Source organism: Homo sapiens, chromosome 15 (assembly GCF_000001405.40).
Source record: "Homo sapiens chromosome 15, GRCh38.p14 Primary Assembly".
Classification (NCBI taxonomy): Eukaryota; Metazoa; Chordata; class Mammalia; order Primates; family Hominidae; genus Homo; species Homo sapiens.
In genome coordinates, this window is record NC_000015.10 from 72,278,840 (window position 1) to 72,297,017 (window position 18,178).

Genomic DNA, 18,178 nt, shown 5'->3' on the forward strand with positions numbered 1-18,178 from the left:
TTCTGCTCAAAGCTCTCTTGCTTTTGAGGTTAATGTGCTAAGAGGATATGAGATTGAAGCTGCTGGCACCCAGCTCTCCCTGCCACAGGGCAGAGAATGGGGCCAAGGCATAAAGAGAAGCAGAGCTCTGAGAAATGGAATGAGAGAGACCTGATGACATTGTTTGAGCCCCTGAGATGAGCCTTGCCTGAGGTCAGTAATACCACCGCATTTCTCAGTTCTCATCTTGCTTAAGCTGGTTTGTCTTGGTTCCTATAACTTGCTACTAAATCAGACCTAATACAGAAATGGAATGAGGTATGGAATTGATGGCACTGAAGTGAAGTTGAGGCAGTGGAGATCCCCACTTGGCTGGGGAACTGGAAACCCCTGCTATTTGGTATCAAACCAGCTGGTTAAATGATCATCTATTTTATCTTGAGATTCAAGTCATGTATCCATCAAAGTGGAGATTTCTGGGATGCACTGGAAAAAAAAAAGTTTGGATGTTGGAGTATGTTGACCTCTTCTTGAGATTTTCAATAAGGTCCTCCAGTTTGACTTTCCTCCATGCTGGCAGAATCAGAACAGTATACAGCTTTGTTTAGAGTTGACTTTTCTGCTTTTTTTTTTTTTTTTTTTTTTTTGAGACAGAGTCTCCCTCTGTCACCCAGGCTGGAGGCTGGAGTGCAATGGCGCAATCTTGGCTCACTGCAACCTCCGCCTCCCGGGTTCAAGCGATTCTCCTGCCTCAGCCTCCTGAGTAGCTGGGATTACAGGCACACACCACCACGCCTGGCTAATTTTTGTATTTTTACTAGAGACGGGTTTTCACTATGTTGGTCAGGCTGGTCTGGAACTCCTGACCTCAGGTGATCTGCCCGCCTTGGCCTCCCAAACTGATGGGATTACAGGCATGAGCCACCTCGCCCGGCCGCCTTTTCTGCTTTTGACCAGCAATCCAGGGTGCTAAAGGTCAGATAATCATGCATCTTGTCGACTATAAAGGCCAAATCCTTTCCCCCAAACTAAAGTGAATAAGAACAAAGGCCTAGAGGTAGAAAATCCAGTAGGAGATATTGGAGTGAGTTTAGGGTCTGGGAAGTTCCAGAGAAAAAAGGGAGAATCCTGATCCTTCAAGCTATACCTGAATGCTTCCCTTTTCACCCCTCCAAATTAAGTAAGATGTATTTGGCTTGGAATTCAGACAGTGTTGGGGGTTCTGGTGCCTGGGGACTTTGGCTGTGAATCCTGTGGGAGAGAATTGGATGTCTTGGGCACGAACTTCATGCACTTTCTTGGATTCCCTAGCCACCTCCTTCTTTCTGTCTCTTGGTTGGCACCCTGCCTGTGCTAAGTAGCCCTTCTACTTCCATGTCTATAGTAGAAATGCCATACAGCAGACCATGGGAGCTGACTTCCCAACAGCCATCCAGGGAGCAAATGATGCAACTGAGAAGTGCAGGGGAGTTAGCTCCTTGTGGGGTGGAATCTTGGCCAACAGAAAACAGGAGAAGAGAGTGGAACAGAAGCATTAATTCCCTCTCATATCTCCCCTTGGTGAACTGCTCCAAGGTGCCATTTCTCCTTTCAAACACCATGTGCTTGGCAAACAAGCCTGACAAGGGACGTGCTCTCTCCTAATAGCTCATATGAAGTGGCGGCCGGCACAGTACTGCGTCATCTTGCATTGCCTTCGTCTCTTCTCCCTTTCACCATCCTGGACTTCCACCTCCCTGCAAAATGTCAGCACTTGCCTCAGGGTCTGCTTTCTAGAGACTTGGGTTAAGATATGGAGATAAAATCAAAGCCCCCATCTCTACATTAAGTCCCCATATAACATAAAGGTCCTGAGGACACAGCTGAGTTTTCCCACTCAAATGCAGGGAATCCAGCCCAGACTGCTGGCTTCCTCTCGGGAATCCAGTGTCAGGTCACTGGGTCAGGCCATCTCGGGACTACTCCCCAGGAGGCTGAGGCTCATTCCACAGGCTTTCTCTTTACTCTCTTGCATTTTTTGCTGGTCACCTAAGATATCCCTTGGGAAAAGCCAGACCCAGGCTTGTGGCCTGTTCTGCCTTCTGAGTTTCTGTGCTTTTAGGTAACTAGAGGGCAGGAGGCCAGAGTCTGGAAGTTCAAAGTCCCCTCTACAGATGGCCAGCTAAAGGCTTTGGTCAGCCCAGGCTTCTAGAGGGCAGAGGTTGCCATAATAGCTGTGTCTGGAGTTGGGGCTAGGGAGACAAAGAGTGGCCCTCTGCCCCTTCTTAGTTTGTACTTGGCACAGACTTGGCCACCTCTTTGCAGATCCCAGCTGGCTCGGGCTGCAGGCTAGAAGGGCAGCTGAATGGCCCACATTGCCTCTTAGCTCCCTGAACTCATGCAGTTTCTTCCAAATAATACAGGGCTGTGTAACATAATTGTGCAAATATACTGGCCATGAATGAGGCTCAGAGGCCAGAAACAGCCTGTGAGTCCCTGCTGGGTTTGGCTATGTCATGATGGAGGCAAGTGCAATCAGGACAGTGGCTGCTCAAAGATTACAGCCCAAGCTGGAAAGGATCAAGTGAGATTCTGTGATCTCCACATCATAGCACCCTCTTTTGGAAGGTATTACATGCATGTTCTGCTCCACTGAGGCCAGGGTGAGCCCCCAGGTCTGGTCAGAGGACATAGCAGAACCAGAGCTGCTTCAAGGTCAGAGGTCACCAGTCCTATCTCAGACCAGAGGACTTTTCTCCCTACATCCAAGACACCCAGATTGCATCCAGCGAGAGAAATTCATTCTAGGGGATCTGCTGGAGGCTGAAGACTCTGCCCAGAGCCCCTAAGTTCTAGAGGTTGTAAGAGGGCCCCCAAAATTCAGTGTCAACTGAGAGACTCCCCTGAGGAGTCTTTCGATTGTGTGGCCTCAATGTAATAATGGGCCATGGCCAGAGTTGGAGGAGTAGAGCAAGCTGCAGGTTGCTGGTCCAAGAGTGCTTGACTGGTTGCTTCCATCCTGTCCTATGCATCTCCTTGGGGCTTGAGGCCTAGGAGCCAGTACTGCTCAGGTATTTTGAATATCTGGTCAAGACCAAGGTCACTGGAGCGTGAGTCAGCCAAGTGTTGAATGAGTAATCTCTCTTTGGGGGTAGTGAGCAGATTAAGGTTGACTTACCACTATAGACAGACCATTATGGAAGCCACAAAGCTGAGAGGTAGGGGAATGGCTAAAGTGTGACCTCTTGCTAAGACGAAGAAATCACATGAGCTAGGATTGAAACTCATGGAGCAGGACATTATCAAGGATTCCTCATGATGGTTACCAGCTCAAAGAAAGCCCACGAATCAGAGAATCCTCACAACTGACAAACAAAGATCTGGGAATGCTTAATCTCTACGTCAATCTTTAAATCCAAAACTGGCTGGGCACGGTGGCTCACACCTGTAATCCCAGCACTTTGGGAGGTCAAGGGAGATGTACCACTTGAGGCCAGGAGTTCAAGACCAGCCCGACCAACATGGCGAAACCCTGTCTCTACTAAAAATATAAAAATTAGCCAGGTGTGGTGGTGGGCATTTGTAATCCCAGCTACTCAGGAGGCTGAGGCATGAGAATCACTTGAACCCAGGAGGCAGAGGTTGTAGTGAGCTGAGATCACGCCACTGCACTCCAGCCTGGGCAACAGAGGAAGACTGTCTCAATAAATAACTCAAAACCATGTCAAAAGGGAAGTGGGATGCTTCAGTTCCAAAGGTCCATCCTCTCAGGGATGTCCATAAACAACAATGGACAAAGGAGATATGTCCCAGTGGAAAGGACCAAAAACAATAGGTTTTGTTGGCCAAGAAATTCACTCCACTGTCCAGAAGGATGTGTTATATGCTGTAGATTAGTGACCATTGTATTCTCTTCTCCCTATTCCAAATGGAAGGTTTTTAAATAACTGTTATAGCGAGGTGCAGTGACATGCACCTGTAGTCCCAGCTAGTCAGGAGGCTGAGGTGAGAGGATCAGTTGAGCCTAGGAGTTCAAATCTAGCCTGGGCAACATAGCAAGACCCCATCTTAATTTAAAAAAAAAGAATTAAAAATTATTCAGTGGTGTGTATTTGTATTCCCAGCTTCTCAGGAGGCTGAGGCAGGAGAATTGCTTGAGCCCAGCAGTTCAGGTCCAGCCTGGACAGCATTAGCAAGGCCCCATCTCTTTAAAACAAATTGTGATCTTCTTTTTCTCCTTATTTCACATTGGTTATAGGGCAAGTATGGGGTAGCTAAGTTTATCTTTTACCTATAGATGGCAAAATCTTAAGAAGTCATATCCAGACCTGAGCAAGAATTGCCCATCACCAAGGGACCCTGGACTGAGGACTCAATAAAGCAACTGGATGTAATTCTGTTTTATCTCCCCTTGGGAAATAGGTGAATGTGGTTTTTGTTGGGTCTATGATTATTGCATTGTCAGGCAGGCACATTTTTGAAATTGTATGTTTGTCAAGAAAAGTATAGGTGGATGCAATAAAGGGTGGGATATAGTGGGTGCATTTCATTTATCTGCCCATCATCTCTTCCTTAGGGACCCATTTCTCCCCTTCCACACAGTCCTGATGAAGTTGTCAATTATGGTGGCCTACTCTTCTATCCTAGTGGTGGGCATGTGTCCAAAGCTGGCCAAAGTCCTCCCTGGGATTTTAGAACTAGAACTAATGAGGCCAACATATGGAAGGAAGCAGAGCCAAGAGATGGAGACATCATCCTTTGAACCCCTAGATCCAGCCATGCTTCAAGGCAGATACATGCTTTGATTTATCAGTTATGTAAATCAATTAATTTCCAATTGGCCTAAACATGTTTGAGTTGGGTTTTTGACACTTGCAACTGAAAAGGTCCAGACTAATACATGCACACAGAGAGACACAAACACCATATTGTTCAAGCTCATCAGACATTATATAAGTCTTCCATGATCTTACCAGGGGTCAGCAAACTTTTTGTCTAAAGGACAAGATAGATAGATATTTTAGGCTGTGTGGGCCATATGTGGTCTCCGTTTCACTTTCTTGTTTTGTTTTGACGACCCTTCAAAAATGTAAAAAAAATTATTAGTTTGGTAGTTCATACAAAAATAGGCCACAGGCCAGATTTGGCCCACAAGCCATAGTTTGCCAACCCCTGATCTAGACCATGTCAAACCCTGAAGCTTTGGAATCACACAGTCTGCCAGTCCTTAGCCCATACTCTAAAGTATGAAGCCAGATATTTTAAATGTCATTTTGGTTCAAGTGTCTTGACATGACTTGGTAATGGTAAGGTTCAGGGTAGAGTTAGGAACGGGAAAAGGGTCTTATCTTGTGCCCATTATCTGCCATATAACAGGTACTGAATAAATGGTAATTATTATTATTTCTTGGTAATAAAGATAATTTTTCAAAATGATGCAGCTGTCTAAATGGCTTTGTCCAAATGTCCCAGTTCATCCTTGAAGACTTTTCCCCTTCTTAATCTCCTTCAGAAAGTATTTCACAGACCTCCCCCACCAATAAAGTCTGAACTAGGTACTCTCATTCTTGCTAGCACAGACCTTCTATGGCCCTCCATTGTAACTGGATTATTTGTCTCTCTTTCCCCTTAACTCTGAGTACTTTGAACATACCTGAGCCCCGACACGTAGCACAGTGCTTAGCACCTAGCCTGAGGGGACTCTCTGCTTCCATGTGAATATTAGTTTGAGGGTGCGGGTACTGTGTGTCTCTATTTGTGTCTAGGGTGGTCACTCTAGGTGTCAGCATTGTGCTGGTGCACATACACCCTCTGGTTCTTCCCTCGGTTGGAAAATATTTGTGGATGTCCATCACACCTTACCTGGTAATATTACTGCCAGATCTATGTTTCATTCCCATTCCCTCCAAAAATGAGTCGAAGACAGAAGAACAGGTGGGAACAAGTTTTCTTAGAAACTGTTATGAAGGAGGAGCCCTCCACCCCCACCCCCACATCTTTTACTATCTGACATGTTATCAGATCAGAGGCCTTCAGCCTCAGCAACATCTGGGGATTAGAGGGACCCCACACAGCTGGGGCCTCAGACCAAGCTGATCCATGCCTGTGGGGTGGAGGGGAAATCCTCCTGGGAAAAATATGTGCAAGGCCCTACAGGCCCAGGAAAGGCTGACCAAGGCAAGGTGAGTCATGGTGTTCTAAGCTGAATCTTTTGCCCATCTCACAGAAGCAGGCAGGAAGCACCACCATTGATCAGCTTTATATGGCACCCACTGTATACAACAGACAGACAAAGACAGACAGACAGAGCACACACCACTTCTAAGCTCAACACTGCTCACCAACTAGAAGCACCTCGGTTAAGCACATGTGAGACACTCTTGCATAGGAAAGATGTAGTTTTTAAAGGAATGAAGAAGTATTTTGGCAAAACATCTACTTCCCTCCCAGGTCTGGGGTAAAGAGGGACCTCTAATTCTGAAGCTTCTACATATTGAAAAATTTCCCCTTCTCAATGGCAGTATATACAGTAGCAAACCTTCCAAGTCTGTTGTCACAGCCCTCTACAGATATCCTGAATCTACTTTACAGGTGGGCAAACTTAGACTAAGAGACAGAAGGTAGCCTGGAGCAAGGGGACACTGGGACTGGTTCAAGGGGAAGGGAAACAGGAGGTGTCTCAGCTCAGCCAAAGGCAGGGCCTCTGTCTACCTGGATTGGCAAGGGAAAGGCTCAGGTGGCCAGAACTCCCTCTTTCTTCCCGCCTGGGGAAGCAGTGGTTCCACAGGAAAGGCAATCCCACTCTTGCTGGCTAGGGGGCCTCCCGGGATGGCAAAGGCCAGGGCCAACCTGAGCTCTGCCTGGGGCCTCTTCTGGGATGCACTCTGAGTTTGGGGATTGTGGATTGTGGGTTCACTGCTTCCATAACGTTCTCATTACCTGCATGTGAGCCTAGACCTCAAATCCTTAATTATTTTTAAAAGGGCAGGGTGGGGGAGTGGCTTAAGAGGGAATGAGACACAGAACAATCTTTCCACAGCCCCCATCTGCCTAGGCTGGGGCTGTCAAGGGTCTCCTTCACCCTGTCTCCTAGGGATATTTAAAGGCAGCTTTTATGAGACTCTATACTGTCTTTTTTTGTAGTTGTTTGTCTTGTTTTTTGTTTGTTTGTTTCTTTGTTTTAATTTATATAGATATATATATTCTTAAAAAAGCAATAGTCCTTTGGTCCCTAAACTCTAAGGAATGATATGATTTTGAAAGAAGTAAATCTGGGCTTCCCTTGCGGAGAAGCCCTTGGCACCCCCAACGCCCTCTGCTGGTTCCCCTGGACAGTCACTCCTCACCAGCCCTATTTGCTCTGCCAGCCTGCGCTCTATGCTGCAGGCACAGAACAACCCACTTGATAAAAACAATCCTTAGAGTGGCCTTAGCCCCAGGCACCAGCCTTGGGTCCGATCCACCTCCGTCCGCAGCTGCTCCTTCGGGAAGGGCTGCTCAAGCGTTTCTGTGCTTTTCCTCTCCTTTCTTCTCACTCTTCTGTTTCTGTTGTTGTGTATTAATTGATAAGGAGAGATAGGGGGGAAAAGGCAAGAATCACCTTGGAGGGCAAGACCAGAAGAGCAGCTTGCCCCCATGAGTGACGTCTCAGGTGAGTGGCTGGACCTCTCTTCCTGAGGAGTAGGGCTGCAGCAGGACCCAGGCAGCAGCCCCGTCCACTGAAGCCAGACTTGAGTCCTGAGCAAAAGACCCCAACCCCACATCCCCTCTAGAAGGTTCCTGGGGTAGCTCAAAGTGAGGCAGGGCCATGTGGGCCTTCTGAGACAGAAAATCTCTAAAAGTTGCAGGCAGCATCCTATGGACCCATGACCTTGCCAAAAATGTAGAAGAACTTGGCCCATCTTTCTCCCCATCACCCACCAGGCCCTGCAGATTCTACCTCTGAAGCATGTTTGCTTCTCTTCCTCCATCTCCATGTTCACTGCCACTATCTCAGCCCTTACTTCTAGTCCTTTCTCTGCTTAAGCTCCTCAACAGTTCATTCTCATCTTCAGGATAAAGTCCAAACTCATGGCCTGAAGACCCTTGAAAACTGGCCCAAAGCTACTTTTCTAGTCTCATTTTCCAGTCTCCTGGACCCTCCCCGCATACAGGTTCTCTACTCTCATTGGCTGTCTCTGGAGTAGAACTGCTTCTCCAGGCAGAAAGACTCTGATTGTCTCTCCTAGACTGCGGGGCAGGAATGTTGTCCAATTGATCTCCTTGGATTGAAGGAAAAGCAAAGTCTCCATCTGAGGTTTCCTCCTAGCTCCTGGCTCTTCTCTCTATCCCAGACTTTCTCAGAGGTGGGTGCCTCCAAGGTCCCAAAAGGAGGACCATCAAAGCTGGGAGGGCCTCATCACTCAGGCCTCATCTACCTGGGGTCCATCAGGGACTCACCTTTCTGTGGCTGGTCAGTGAAAGCAGGTCAGTAAGGCCGGTTGGCATCCTTGGGCCGCTTTAGCTGGACCTTGAGCCTCTTCATGCCAATTTGAAAGCCATTCATCGCCTGAATAGCAGTCTGGGCACTAGTTGGATTGTCAAAACTAACAAACCCTGGAGGGTGTGGGCAAAGAGATTAGCTGGGGACTCTGCCTAGCAGGGCCTCCTTTCTCTCTGACCAGCCCCCTCCTCTTCCAGCCCCGTCAGGCCAGTTCCATCAAACACATACCCCTCCACTGTTTGTGTGGATACAGAGTCATAGGCAGATGGCCTGAGATTCCTAAAGGTGTGATTCTTGGAAGGATAGGAAGCAACTCTGAGTGTGTGTGCAGGGTCAGTGTGTTGATTTGGATGTTTCCGTGTTTTTCCTGGCATGGGTTGGCTTTCTCCCTCCACAGCTCCCATTCTGGTCCTCAGAACCATAGTTGGAGTTGGAGGGGATCTTTGGTCTCAGAACCAGACTCCTCCTGCCCTGGCCAGACTCCAAAGCTCTGACCTAGCTGGCCACATTCCTGGTGGACACATGATCATCCCAGGTAAACCTGAAATAAAGCTCGTTCTTTTTTTTTTTTTTTGAGATGGAGTCTTGCTCTGGGGCCCAGGCTGGAGTGTGCAGTGGTGCCATCACAATTCACTGCAAACTTTCCCTCTCGGATTCAAGAAATTCTCCTGCCTCAGCCTCCTGAGTAGCTGGGATTACAGGCACCCATCACCACGCCCAGCTAATTTTTGTATTTTTAGTGGAGACGGGATTTCGCCATGTTGGCCAGGCTAGTCCCAAACTCCTGACCTCAAGTGATTCACCTGCCCTGGCCTCCCAAAGTGCTAGGATTACAGGCGTGAGCCACCATGCCCGGCCAAGGCTTGTTGTTGGCCTAAACTTAGGCCCATCACTGGTTTGTGACCCTGTTTTGTGCCATACATTCAATCTCAGGAAATCACTGCATTATGGAAGGGCAATCGTAGGGTCTGTAGGAAATCCTTTATAGTCAGAGGTGGGAGAGGCCTAGGGGTAGGTTCTCAGCTCACCAAAACACTTGCTCTGGTTGGTGGCTCGATCCACAAAGACTTTAGCAGAGACAACGGCTCCAAAGGGCAGGAATGTCTGTATGAGTTCCGCATCACCAAACTCCTGAGGCAGGTGATAGATGAAGAGGTTACAGCCTTCGGGGCCTGGAGGAACAGTAGCAAGCTGGTTCAGGGGAAGGACCCTGAGTCCAGCCCCACCAGGTTCTGCTGTCCAGCCCCCAGTCCCTCACCTTCTCTCTGCTGCTGGGGCAGGGCTGAAGGCTGCTGGGGAAAAGCTGTGCTCACTGGGGCATAGGCCGACGGATAGGCTGCTGGAGACAGAGGTGGGAGTGGACAGTGATCCCCAGGAGCCCTTCCCCAAGCAGGGCCCCAACTGCCTGGCCGCTTTTGACCAATTCAGCCCAGTCCACCATAACCCTCACCCCAAGAGAGGTCGTTCTGGGGGTAGGAGGGGATGGGAGGATCAACTCCTTGGAACAGAGCCTAAATCCCCCACAACTCTCCCTATTTCTTTCTAGGGCCCTTCAACCTCCCCCAGGCCGCGTAGCGCCAAGTGAAACCTGCGTAGTGGTGCATCCCAGCGTAGGCCTGCTGCAGGGGGTCAGCCACGCCGGGGCTCTGGGCTGGGGAGAGAGGGGCGCGAGGCCCACAGTGAAGGCAAGCGGGCGAGCAGAGTGGGTGAGAAGCTCAGGGAGTGTGGGAGGTGGACGGCGGCTGTGAGAGACAGCAGGGAAGGAGGGGGATCTCTTCCCAGGGAAGCCAGGCCCTAACCCCCCACCCCCCGCTCCCCACTCCATTTCGGGGGGATTTGGGCGGAGCGGGGGGCCCACCTGGATAAGGGGAGAGCCCGTTATTGTAGAGCGTGTCGGAGCCCGGCTGGCCATTGGTCTGGGGGGTCAGAGGGCCGAATCCATTGACCCCGATGGGCGCCGGAAGACCTGGGAGGGTGCCAGGGCCGCTGCCAGGCGGGGAGTTGGCTGCTGATGGCGGAAAAGGTCTGAGAGTCAGGCCGCCACCCCGCCCCGCCCGGCCCCTCCCAGGCGCGCCCCAGTCCCTGGGGGCCGTACCTGCCGCGGGCAACAGAGGCGCAGCTACCAGGCTAAAGGCCGCCACGTGTTGCATCTGGGCCGCCACTGCCGCCACCGGGCCTAGGCCTGGGCCCTGTGCCGCCGCCAGCAGGGCCGCCTGGTGCTGCAGGATCTTTGAGAGGAAAGATGGGCGAGAGTGGAGGGCCAAGGGGCAGGCAGCTGCCCGTGCTCTCAGCCCCAGGCCTGGCCCACCCACCTGCGCGCCCTCGCACGCAGGTGCCCGGTACCTACCGCCGTGGTGTAGGCGCCGCAGGCCCCTAGCGGCAGTGGCGCGGGGTGGAAGGCGCCCAGGTGGCCGGCCATCTGCTGCATCCGCCGCAGCGCGCGCTCCCGGTCGGTGTCCGCCAGCTTGACCACGAGGCTGGACGAGGCGCCCTGGGCAGGGCAGGGGAGGCCGTGGTGACCGGTCCTGACCCTGGCCCCGGCCCGGGGCCGAGCGCCTTTCCCATCAGGTCCTTTCGCGGGGCACCGAGCACACTCGGGGAGGAGAAGCCCGTCCCCACCCCACTGGCCTCACCCTCAGCCCAGGGAACCCGCCCTCACCGCCATGGTCCGGCTGCCGTGCAGACCCCGGATGGCCGCCTGAGCTTCCCCTTGACTCCCGAACTTCACAAAGGCACAGCCTGGGGCAGGACAGAGGGAGCGGGTGGCTCAGGCCACAGGGGCCAAAGAGTTATGTGGCCCAGAGTGAGGAAGGGTCACCAGGAAATCCCGGGGTCAGCTCAGGTCACCTTTACTGGTGCCGTCAGGACTCCGCAGGACCGTGCACTCCTCGATGTGGCCAAAGGGCTGGAACAGGCGTCTGACGTCCTCCTCACCCTGCTGCTTGCCCAGCATCCCCACAAACAGCTTTCGGTCCTCTGGGGACAAAGCCAGGAATGACCTGGGGACCCCAAGTCTTCCTAGACCCCCGAGAGTAGCCTGAGGAACTTAGGAAGGCAGCTCACCAGTCTCACTCTGGGAAGCAGAGGGAGTGAGAAGGCCCTGGGCTTCCAGGGTTGGTTTTCATTGAGGGGCAGGATCTGGGGAAGGGATCTGGAGAAGGGAGCTCAGCTCAGCTTTCCATCAGGAAAACCTGGGTCCTGGGGAAACCCAGAGAGGCTCAGGGCTGCTCTTGTGGGGAGTAATGCAGTCTTGATATCTCTGGCTGGGTAGAGCCCTATATGCATTGTTTTACATGTTTGACCTTTCTGTTCTTAGAGGTTGGGAAACGCTGTTTTGGACCATTTCTGTACTATTAAGGAAGCGGGTGCTCAGAGAAAGCCTTTCTATTCAGACTGGGTCCAGAGAAGAGAAGTACATCCTTGCTGGTCAGCCTGATAGTGCTGGCTAGAATCAATGCCCCTTCCTGCTAATATCAAGGAGGGTTCTGGATTTAGAAACAGCACAGAAAACAGTCCTGTCATCCTACTGCCTCATCTTTAGGCACTGAGCACTGGCATGATGAATCCTTACCCTCTGCACCACATCCAACCTGGATGCCCCTCCCAAAGGCCTACAGAGAGCAGGACCTTGGTTTCCTGAGCCTCCAACATTAGCATTTTTCCTACTACAGTTGCTGAACCCCTGACCCCTTTCCTTAACTCCCACCTCCACCACCCTGTCCCTTCAGCAAGCTTCTAGTGCCCTGTCTGTATCCTTCCCTCTGATTCCCCTGTCCTCTTGCCCTGATGCCTCCCAAAATGTTCATGCTATGAGAGAACAAGTTCTGCCTATAGACCTGGATTGCCACCAGAGAACCAGTCTGATTCCTCCCTGTGTCCACCCTTTCTATGGGAGTGGCAGAAATGCAGGAAAGGGGCTGCAAGCTGGGCCTGTGTCCCTCGAAGAAAGCTGGAGAGCTGGGGCTGGAAACTAGGGTTTTGCCGCACATCCAGCAAGTTAGGCCTCAGGAACACTCTGGGAGCGTGGGGTAGAGGGGTCCAGCCTGCTGTTAAAGTCTGGGGCTCTTCTCTGCACCAAGGTAAATCTCTGAATTTGGGATGGGGCTTGACCATGTAGGGGACAATACAAGTTGGGAGAGAAGGAGTGGGTAGGAAACTGGTTTCAGGCTTCATCTTCAAGACCTTGGAGTGCAGGAAAACCCATCCTAAATGGTTCTACTCCTTGACCAGCTTGGCTAGGCAGATGGGGGTCCTTGGATTCTGAGTGCAGGGAAAACAAGGCTAGTGGGGGGTCATAGACTGAAGCCTGGGTGACAGCGAAGGAAGAACAGACTGTTCAAAACTGAACGAAGTTAGCAGGGGAGAAATCTCCAACAAGACTATGTGTGTGTCCATATGTCACCCGGGTGGTGTGGGGTTTGGCCTAGGCTGCCTTGGGGATCCTGAAGTGTCTGTCTGTCTGACGATGCTATGTCTGTGTGGAGGGCAGGGGCTGCAGTTCATAAGGGGCAGGCAAAATGTGTTTTAGCAAAATTCTGCCGTCTGTCCAGAGAGGTACCATCCGATGATCCTTGGAGAGGGGATGGATAATGGACTTGTGGCTGGAATTCTGATGGAGGAAAGAAGGTCTCACCAGTGACCTTCTGTGGTGAGAGTACAACCTGGTGGGTGTACTTTGCTTCTGGGGGTGTCAGCCACAGAATAGTGCCCTTGGAACAGATCACTGGTTTCCCAACCTTTTGAAAAATCAGTGGAATACATTGTTCTAACATAAATATTAGGATGAAGCTCAAAATGTAAGAGAAAAATAGAACTGCTGTGACTGAAGCCAGAAAAGGAGGGGTGGAGTTCATCTTGCTTGATCCTCCCCTAATACTCCCTAGAGGGGCTCCAAGGAAAGCCCTTTGAAATTACTGACCTAGAAGATAGAGAACAGAGTTCCAGCTGTTGTTTGAGGGGGGATCTGAGATCATCCTGTTCAGGAGCCTGAGAAGACAGGAAAGGTCTTTCATGAGTCTCTCAACCAATCTGATGGCTTTGCCTTGACATTGGAGAATGGGCTCATTTGGCCAGAGAATCAAACCCCGAAAGACCATGCCATTGTTCTAAGTTATTCTGGGCTGCAGAAGGCCTGGGAGAGGCTGGAGAAGAGTCTAGGGCCTCCATAGTCCCAAGGGGGGCTTCACAATGCCCTAATTTGTAGTGGAGCTGTGTCATTGGGCAGGGTCTGAAAAATGGTGATGGCACCCCAATAAGATATCATACCACATGGACCAGAATCCAGGTAGCCTTGTGTAGGAAGAGAGACATCACAGGCTGAGATAGAGCCCATAAGACAGAAAAGAGGTTTGTACTGACAGTGGTGATCTGATCCTTCATCTGCTCTGCCTCTTGTTGCTTTTTCTGCTGATGGTGAAATTTTCCGATCCTCTTTTCCAGTGAGAATCTCACAAGTTAAGAATTTTCAGCAGGGCGCAGTGGCTCACGCCTATAATCCCAGTGCTTTGGGAGGCCAAGGTGGGCTGATCACTTGAGGTCGGGGGTTTGAGACCAGCCTGGCCAACATGGTAAAACCCCATCTCTACTAAAAATATAAAAATAGCCAGGCGTGGTGGCACATGCCTATAATCCCAGCTATTCAGGAGACTGAGGTGGGAAAATGGCTTGGACCTAGGAGGCGGAGGTTACAGTGAGCCGAGATTGTACCACTGCACTCCAGCCTGGGCGACAGAGTGAGACTCCAACTAAAAAAATTTTTTTTTCCATTTCCCTGTCAGGGCACTGACCCTATGGATCTGGACTACTGGGATGTACAGAGTTTGGAATGGAAATGAGTATCTACCATGGGGTGGGCTCTAGGCTCCTGTTTCCCAGGTATCACCTTAAATCCTGGTATCCTCTTTGCCACTTTACAGGGACCTTGATTGTGTTTGACAGGAGGATAAGCTGGATCACAGTGGTCATGAGCCTCAGGTGACCCAGAAATGGTGGGATAAGTTTCTTAAGAGACCCGGCCAAAGAGAAGTACATGCTGGACCCCTAACAGTAGCCCCGCAAACCCACAGATCTGAACATTCTGATGGCTGATCATTGATTGCCTCCAAAGAGAGATGATGATGGGATGTAGCCCAGATAATTCAGTTTCCTCTAGATCAAATTCTATCATTTGGATAAAAAGCGGACGCTACAAGAGGCAAGTCAGAAATGTCTGAATAAAAGTATCCCATGAGTGGTGGGTAGTATCCTAGAAAGATGGGAATATCAAACATGGACGCTCAACCTTCCTGGAGTGGAAAGTATTAGAAGGCAGCATCAGCGCAGAGTTGAGACATAGTTGGAATGCCATATGGTTGAATGGTATAACTGCATTTTCCTGTTGGCAACCGATGTATACTTCTTAATCTTCTATCAAATGCTTTTTTTTTTTTTTTTGACACTGAGTCTTGCTCTGTCACCCAAGCTGGAGAGCAATGGCACGATCTCGGCTCACTGCAATCTCCTCCTCCCAGGTTCAAGTGATTCTCCTGCCTCAGCCTCCTGAGTAGCTGGATTATAGGTGCACGCCACCATGCCCAGCTAATTTTTGTATTTTTTAGTAGAGACAGGGTTTCACCGTGTTGGCCATGCTGGTCTCAAACTCCTGACCTCAGGTGATCCGCCCGCCCAGGCCTCCCACAGTGCTTGGGATTTCATGTGTGAGCCACCACACCCAGTCTCAAATGCTTTTTGAGTCCAAAACAAGTGGCTTAGGCTCCCAGAGGCCCATCTCCATGAAGCTGCCTTGTGCAGCTGGTCATATAGGTCAGGGATTCGAATGCAGCAAATGATGGGGTTGACATCCCAGTAATCATAGCAGAATCAATCCAGACTACTTCTTCAGAAAGGGCACCAGGATGCTGTTCAAGGAAGGAGCGTCTGCCTCATGTTGCTCCAAAGAAATTCCTAAGTTGTTCAAGTTTCTTGTTTTCTAGGCCACTCACACCAAATCACCTCCATGTTGGTGAAATGTAATGATTGTAGGGACAGTGTAAGGAAAGGTCCAGCCTTCGGGTACCAACTACCAGACACATCCTAAAAATACTGGTCCATTTTTCAATGTAAATGCCAACCCAGAAAGTCTTGCTGGTGGCAGTAATTGTATTACAGCAAAGCAACTCTCTCCTGATACTCTTAGTGACGACTGCAGCATAAGAAGCCACGGGGAAAGTGACAGAAGGAAGTAGCCAGGACGAGAAGAGTCTCCTGGCCAGATGTGACAGGCATCAGGAGGGACTTAAATTCCACACACAAAAAAACTGTTAGAACAAATAACCCAATTCAGCAAAGTTGCAAGAAATAAAATTGACACACAAAAAATCAGTTGTGTTTCTACACACTAGCAATGAACAATCTGAAAATGAAATGAAGTGAAAGCAAAAGCCAGCACGGTGGCTCACGCCTATAATCCCAGCACTTTGGGAGGCCAACGTGGGTGGATCACATGAGGTCAGGAGTTCAAGACCAGGCTGGCCAACATAGTGAAACCCTGTCTCTACTAAAAATGCAAAAATTAGCCAGGCATGGTGGCATGTGTCTGTAGTCCCAGCTACTCGCAAGGCTGAGGCAGGAGAATCTCTTGAACCTGGGAGGTGGAGGTTGCAGTGAGCTGAGATTGTGCCGCTGCACTCCTGCCTGGGAGACAGAGTGAGACTGTGTCTCAAAAAAAAAAAAAAAAAGAGATGAAAGCAAACAATTCTATTTGCAATAGCATCGAAAAGAATAAAACACTTGGAGGCCGGGCATGGTGGCTCACGCCTGTAAACCCAGCACTTTGGGAGGCCGAGGTGGGTGGATCACCTGAGGTCAGGAGTTTGAGACCAGCTTGGCCAACAGGGCAAAATCCTGTCTCCACTAAAAATACAAAAATTAGCCGTGTGTAGGTGGCAAGCACCTGTAATCCCAGCTACTTGGGGGGCTGAGGCAGGAGAATCGCTTGAACCTGGGAGGTGGAGGTTTGCAGTGAGCCGAGATTGAGCCACTGCACTCCAGCCTGGGTGACAGAGTAAGACTGTTTCAAAATACATAAATAAATAATAAGATAAAATAAAATACTTGGGAATAAACTTAACCCAGGAGGTGAAAGACTCATACACTGAAAACTACAAAATGTTGCTAAAAGAAATTAAGAGGCCAGGCGTGGTGGCTCACGCTTGTAATCCCAGCACTTTGGGAGGCCGAGGCGGGCAGATCATGAGGTCAGGAGTTTGAGACCAGCCTGGCCAACATAGTGAAACCCCATCTCTACTAAAAATACAAAGAAATTAGCTGGGCGTGGTGGTGGGTGCCTGTAATCCCAGCTACTCAGGAGGCTGAGGCAGAATTGCTTGAACCCAGGATGCAGAGGTTGCAGTGAGCCGAGATCACGCCACTGCACTCCAGCCTGGGTGATAGTGCAAGACTCTGTCTCAAAAAAAAAAAAAAAAAAATTAAGAAGACACAAATAAATGAAAAGACAATCTGTGTTCATGGATTCGAAGACTTAATATTGCTAAGATGTCAATACTACTCCAAGTGATCTACAGATTTAATGTAATCTCTATAAACTCCCAATGGCATTTTTTGCAGAAATAGAAAAATCCATCCTAAAATTCATATGGAATCTCAAGGGACTCCAAATACCCAGCAATCTTGAAGAAGAAGAAGAACTCCCTGTTTTCAAAACATATTACACAGCTATAGTAATCGGCACTATGGTACTGGCATAAAGATAAATATATAGACCAATGGAATAGAACAGAAATCCCAGAAATAAACTCTCTTACATATGGTCAAATGATTTTCAACAAGGGAGGCAAGGTCATTCAATAAGGAAAGGACAGTCTTTTCAACAAATGGGGTTGGGAAAAATGGATATCTACAAAAGAATGAAGTTAGACTCTTACCTTTCACCATATACACAAGATTAACTGAAAATGGATGAGTCCTAAATGTAAGAGCTAAAACAATAGATGTCTTAGAAAACTGAGGGGAAAAAGATTTCCTGACAGGATTTGGCAATGATTTCTTGGATATGACACCAAAAGCACAGGCAACAAAAGTAAAAATAAATAAATTGGACTGACTACATCAAAATTAAAAACTTTAACAAGGATCTATTGGAGGGCAAAAATAAAAAACTAGAAAACTTCTGTCCATCAAAAGACACAACTCACAGAATGAAAAAGCAACCTCTGGAATGGGAGAACACATTTGCAAACAATATATCAAGATAAGAGGTTAACATCCAGAATATATAAAGAACTCGTACAACTAAATGGTAACAACAACAATACCAACAACAGAAAACACCAAACCTTCTATTTAATAATGGGCAAAGGATTTGTATAGATGTTTCTGCAAAGAAGAAATACAAATGGGCAACAAGCATAAGAAAAGATGCTCAAAATGACTAATTGTTAAGGAAATGCAAATCAAAACTACAATGAGATATCACCCACCTCACACCGATTAGGATGACTGCTATCAAAGAAACAGAAAATCACAGCGTTGGCGAGGATGTGGAGAAATTGGAACTCTTGCACACTGTTGATAGGAATGTAAAATAGTGTCGCTGCTACAGAAAGCAGTATGGCAGTTCTTCAAAAAATTAAAAATAGAATTACCATATGATCTAGCAATACCTTTTCTGGGAATATATCCAAAAACATTGAAAGCAGGGTCTTTTCAAAAATTAATCTATAATTTTATTTCAATTGACCA

The 18,178-nt window shown here is 49.0% G+C and overlaps 1 protein-coding gene and 1 long non-coding RNA gene across 4 annotated transcripts in view; one reads left to right on the forward strand and one right to left on the reverse strand.

Moving 5' to 3' along the window:
- The first annotated feature begins 31 nt into the window (after positions 1–31).
- LOC105370887 (uncharacterized) lies at positions 32–4,352 on the forward strand. Its single transcript, XR_932440.3, has 2 exons — positions 32–192; positions 4,256–4,352. It is a non-coding gene; the product is annotated as an uncharacterized LOC105370887 (long non-coding RNA).
- A 1,535-nt stretch (positions 4,353–5,887) lies between these two features.
- The window catches only part of CELF6 (CUGBP Elav-like family member 6), a 35,431-nt gene continuing 23,140 nt past the window's right edge, over positions 5,888–18,178 (reverse strand). The window contains exons 4-13 of one of the 3 annotated variants that reach the window (NM_052840.5): positions 11,288–11,416; positions 11,100–11,179; positions 10,788–10,931; positions 10,536–10,668; positions 10,299–10,448; positions 10,029–10,091; positions 9,699–9,779; positions 9,469–9,612; positions 8,398–8,553; positions 5,888–7,503 (exon numbers count right to left, since the gene is read on the reverse strand). In NM_052840.5, the coding sequence (NP_443072.3) occupies positions 8,426–8,553; positions 9,469–9,612; positions 9,699–9,779; positions 10,029–10,091; positions 10,299–10,448; positions 10,536–10,668; positions 10,788–10,931; positions 11,100–11,179; positions 11,288–11,416 (1,052 nt within the window). In that variant the 3' untranslated portion in view covers positions 5,888–7,503; positions 8,398–8,425. The remainder of the gene's footprint in view (positions 7,504–8,397; positions 8,554–9,468; positions 9,613–9,698; positions 9,780–10,028; positions 10,092–10,298; positions 10,449–10,535; positions 10,669–10,787; positions 10,932–11,099; positions 11,180–11,287; positions 11,417–18,178) is intronic. The other 2 variants (NM_001172684.2, NM_001172685.2) reach the window with 2 other exon arrangements.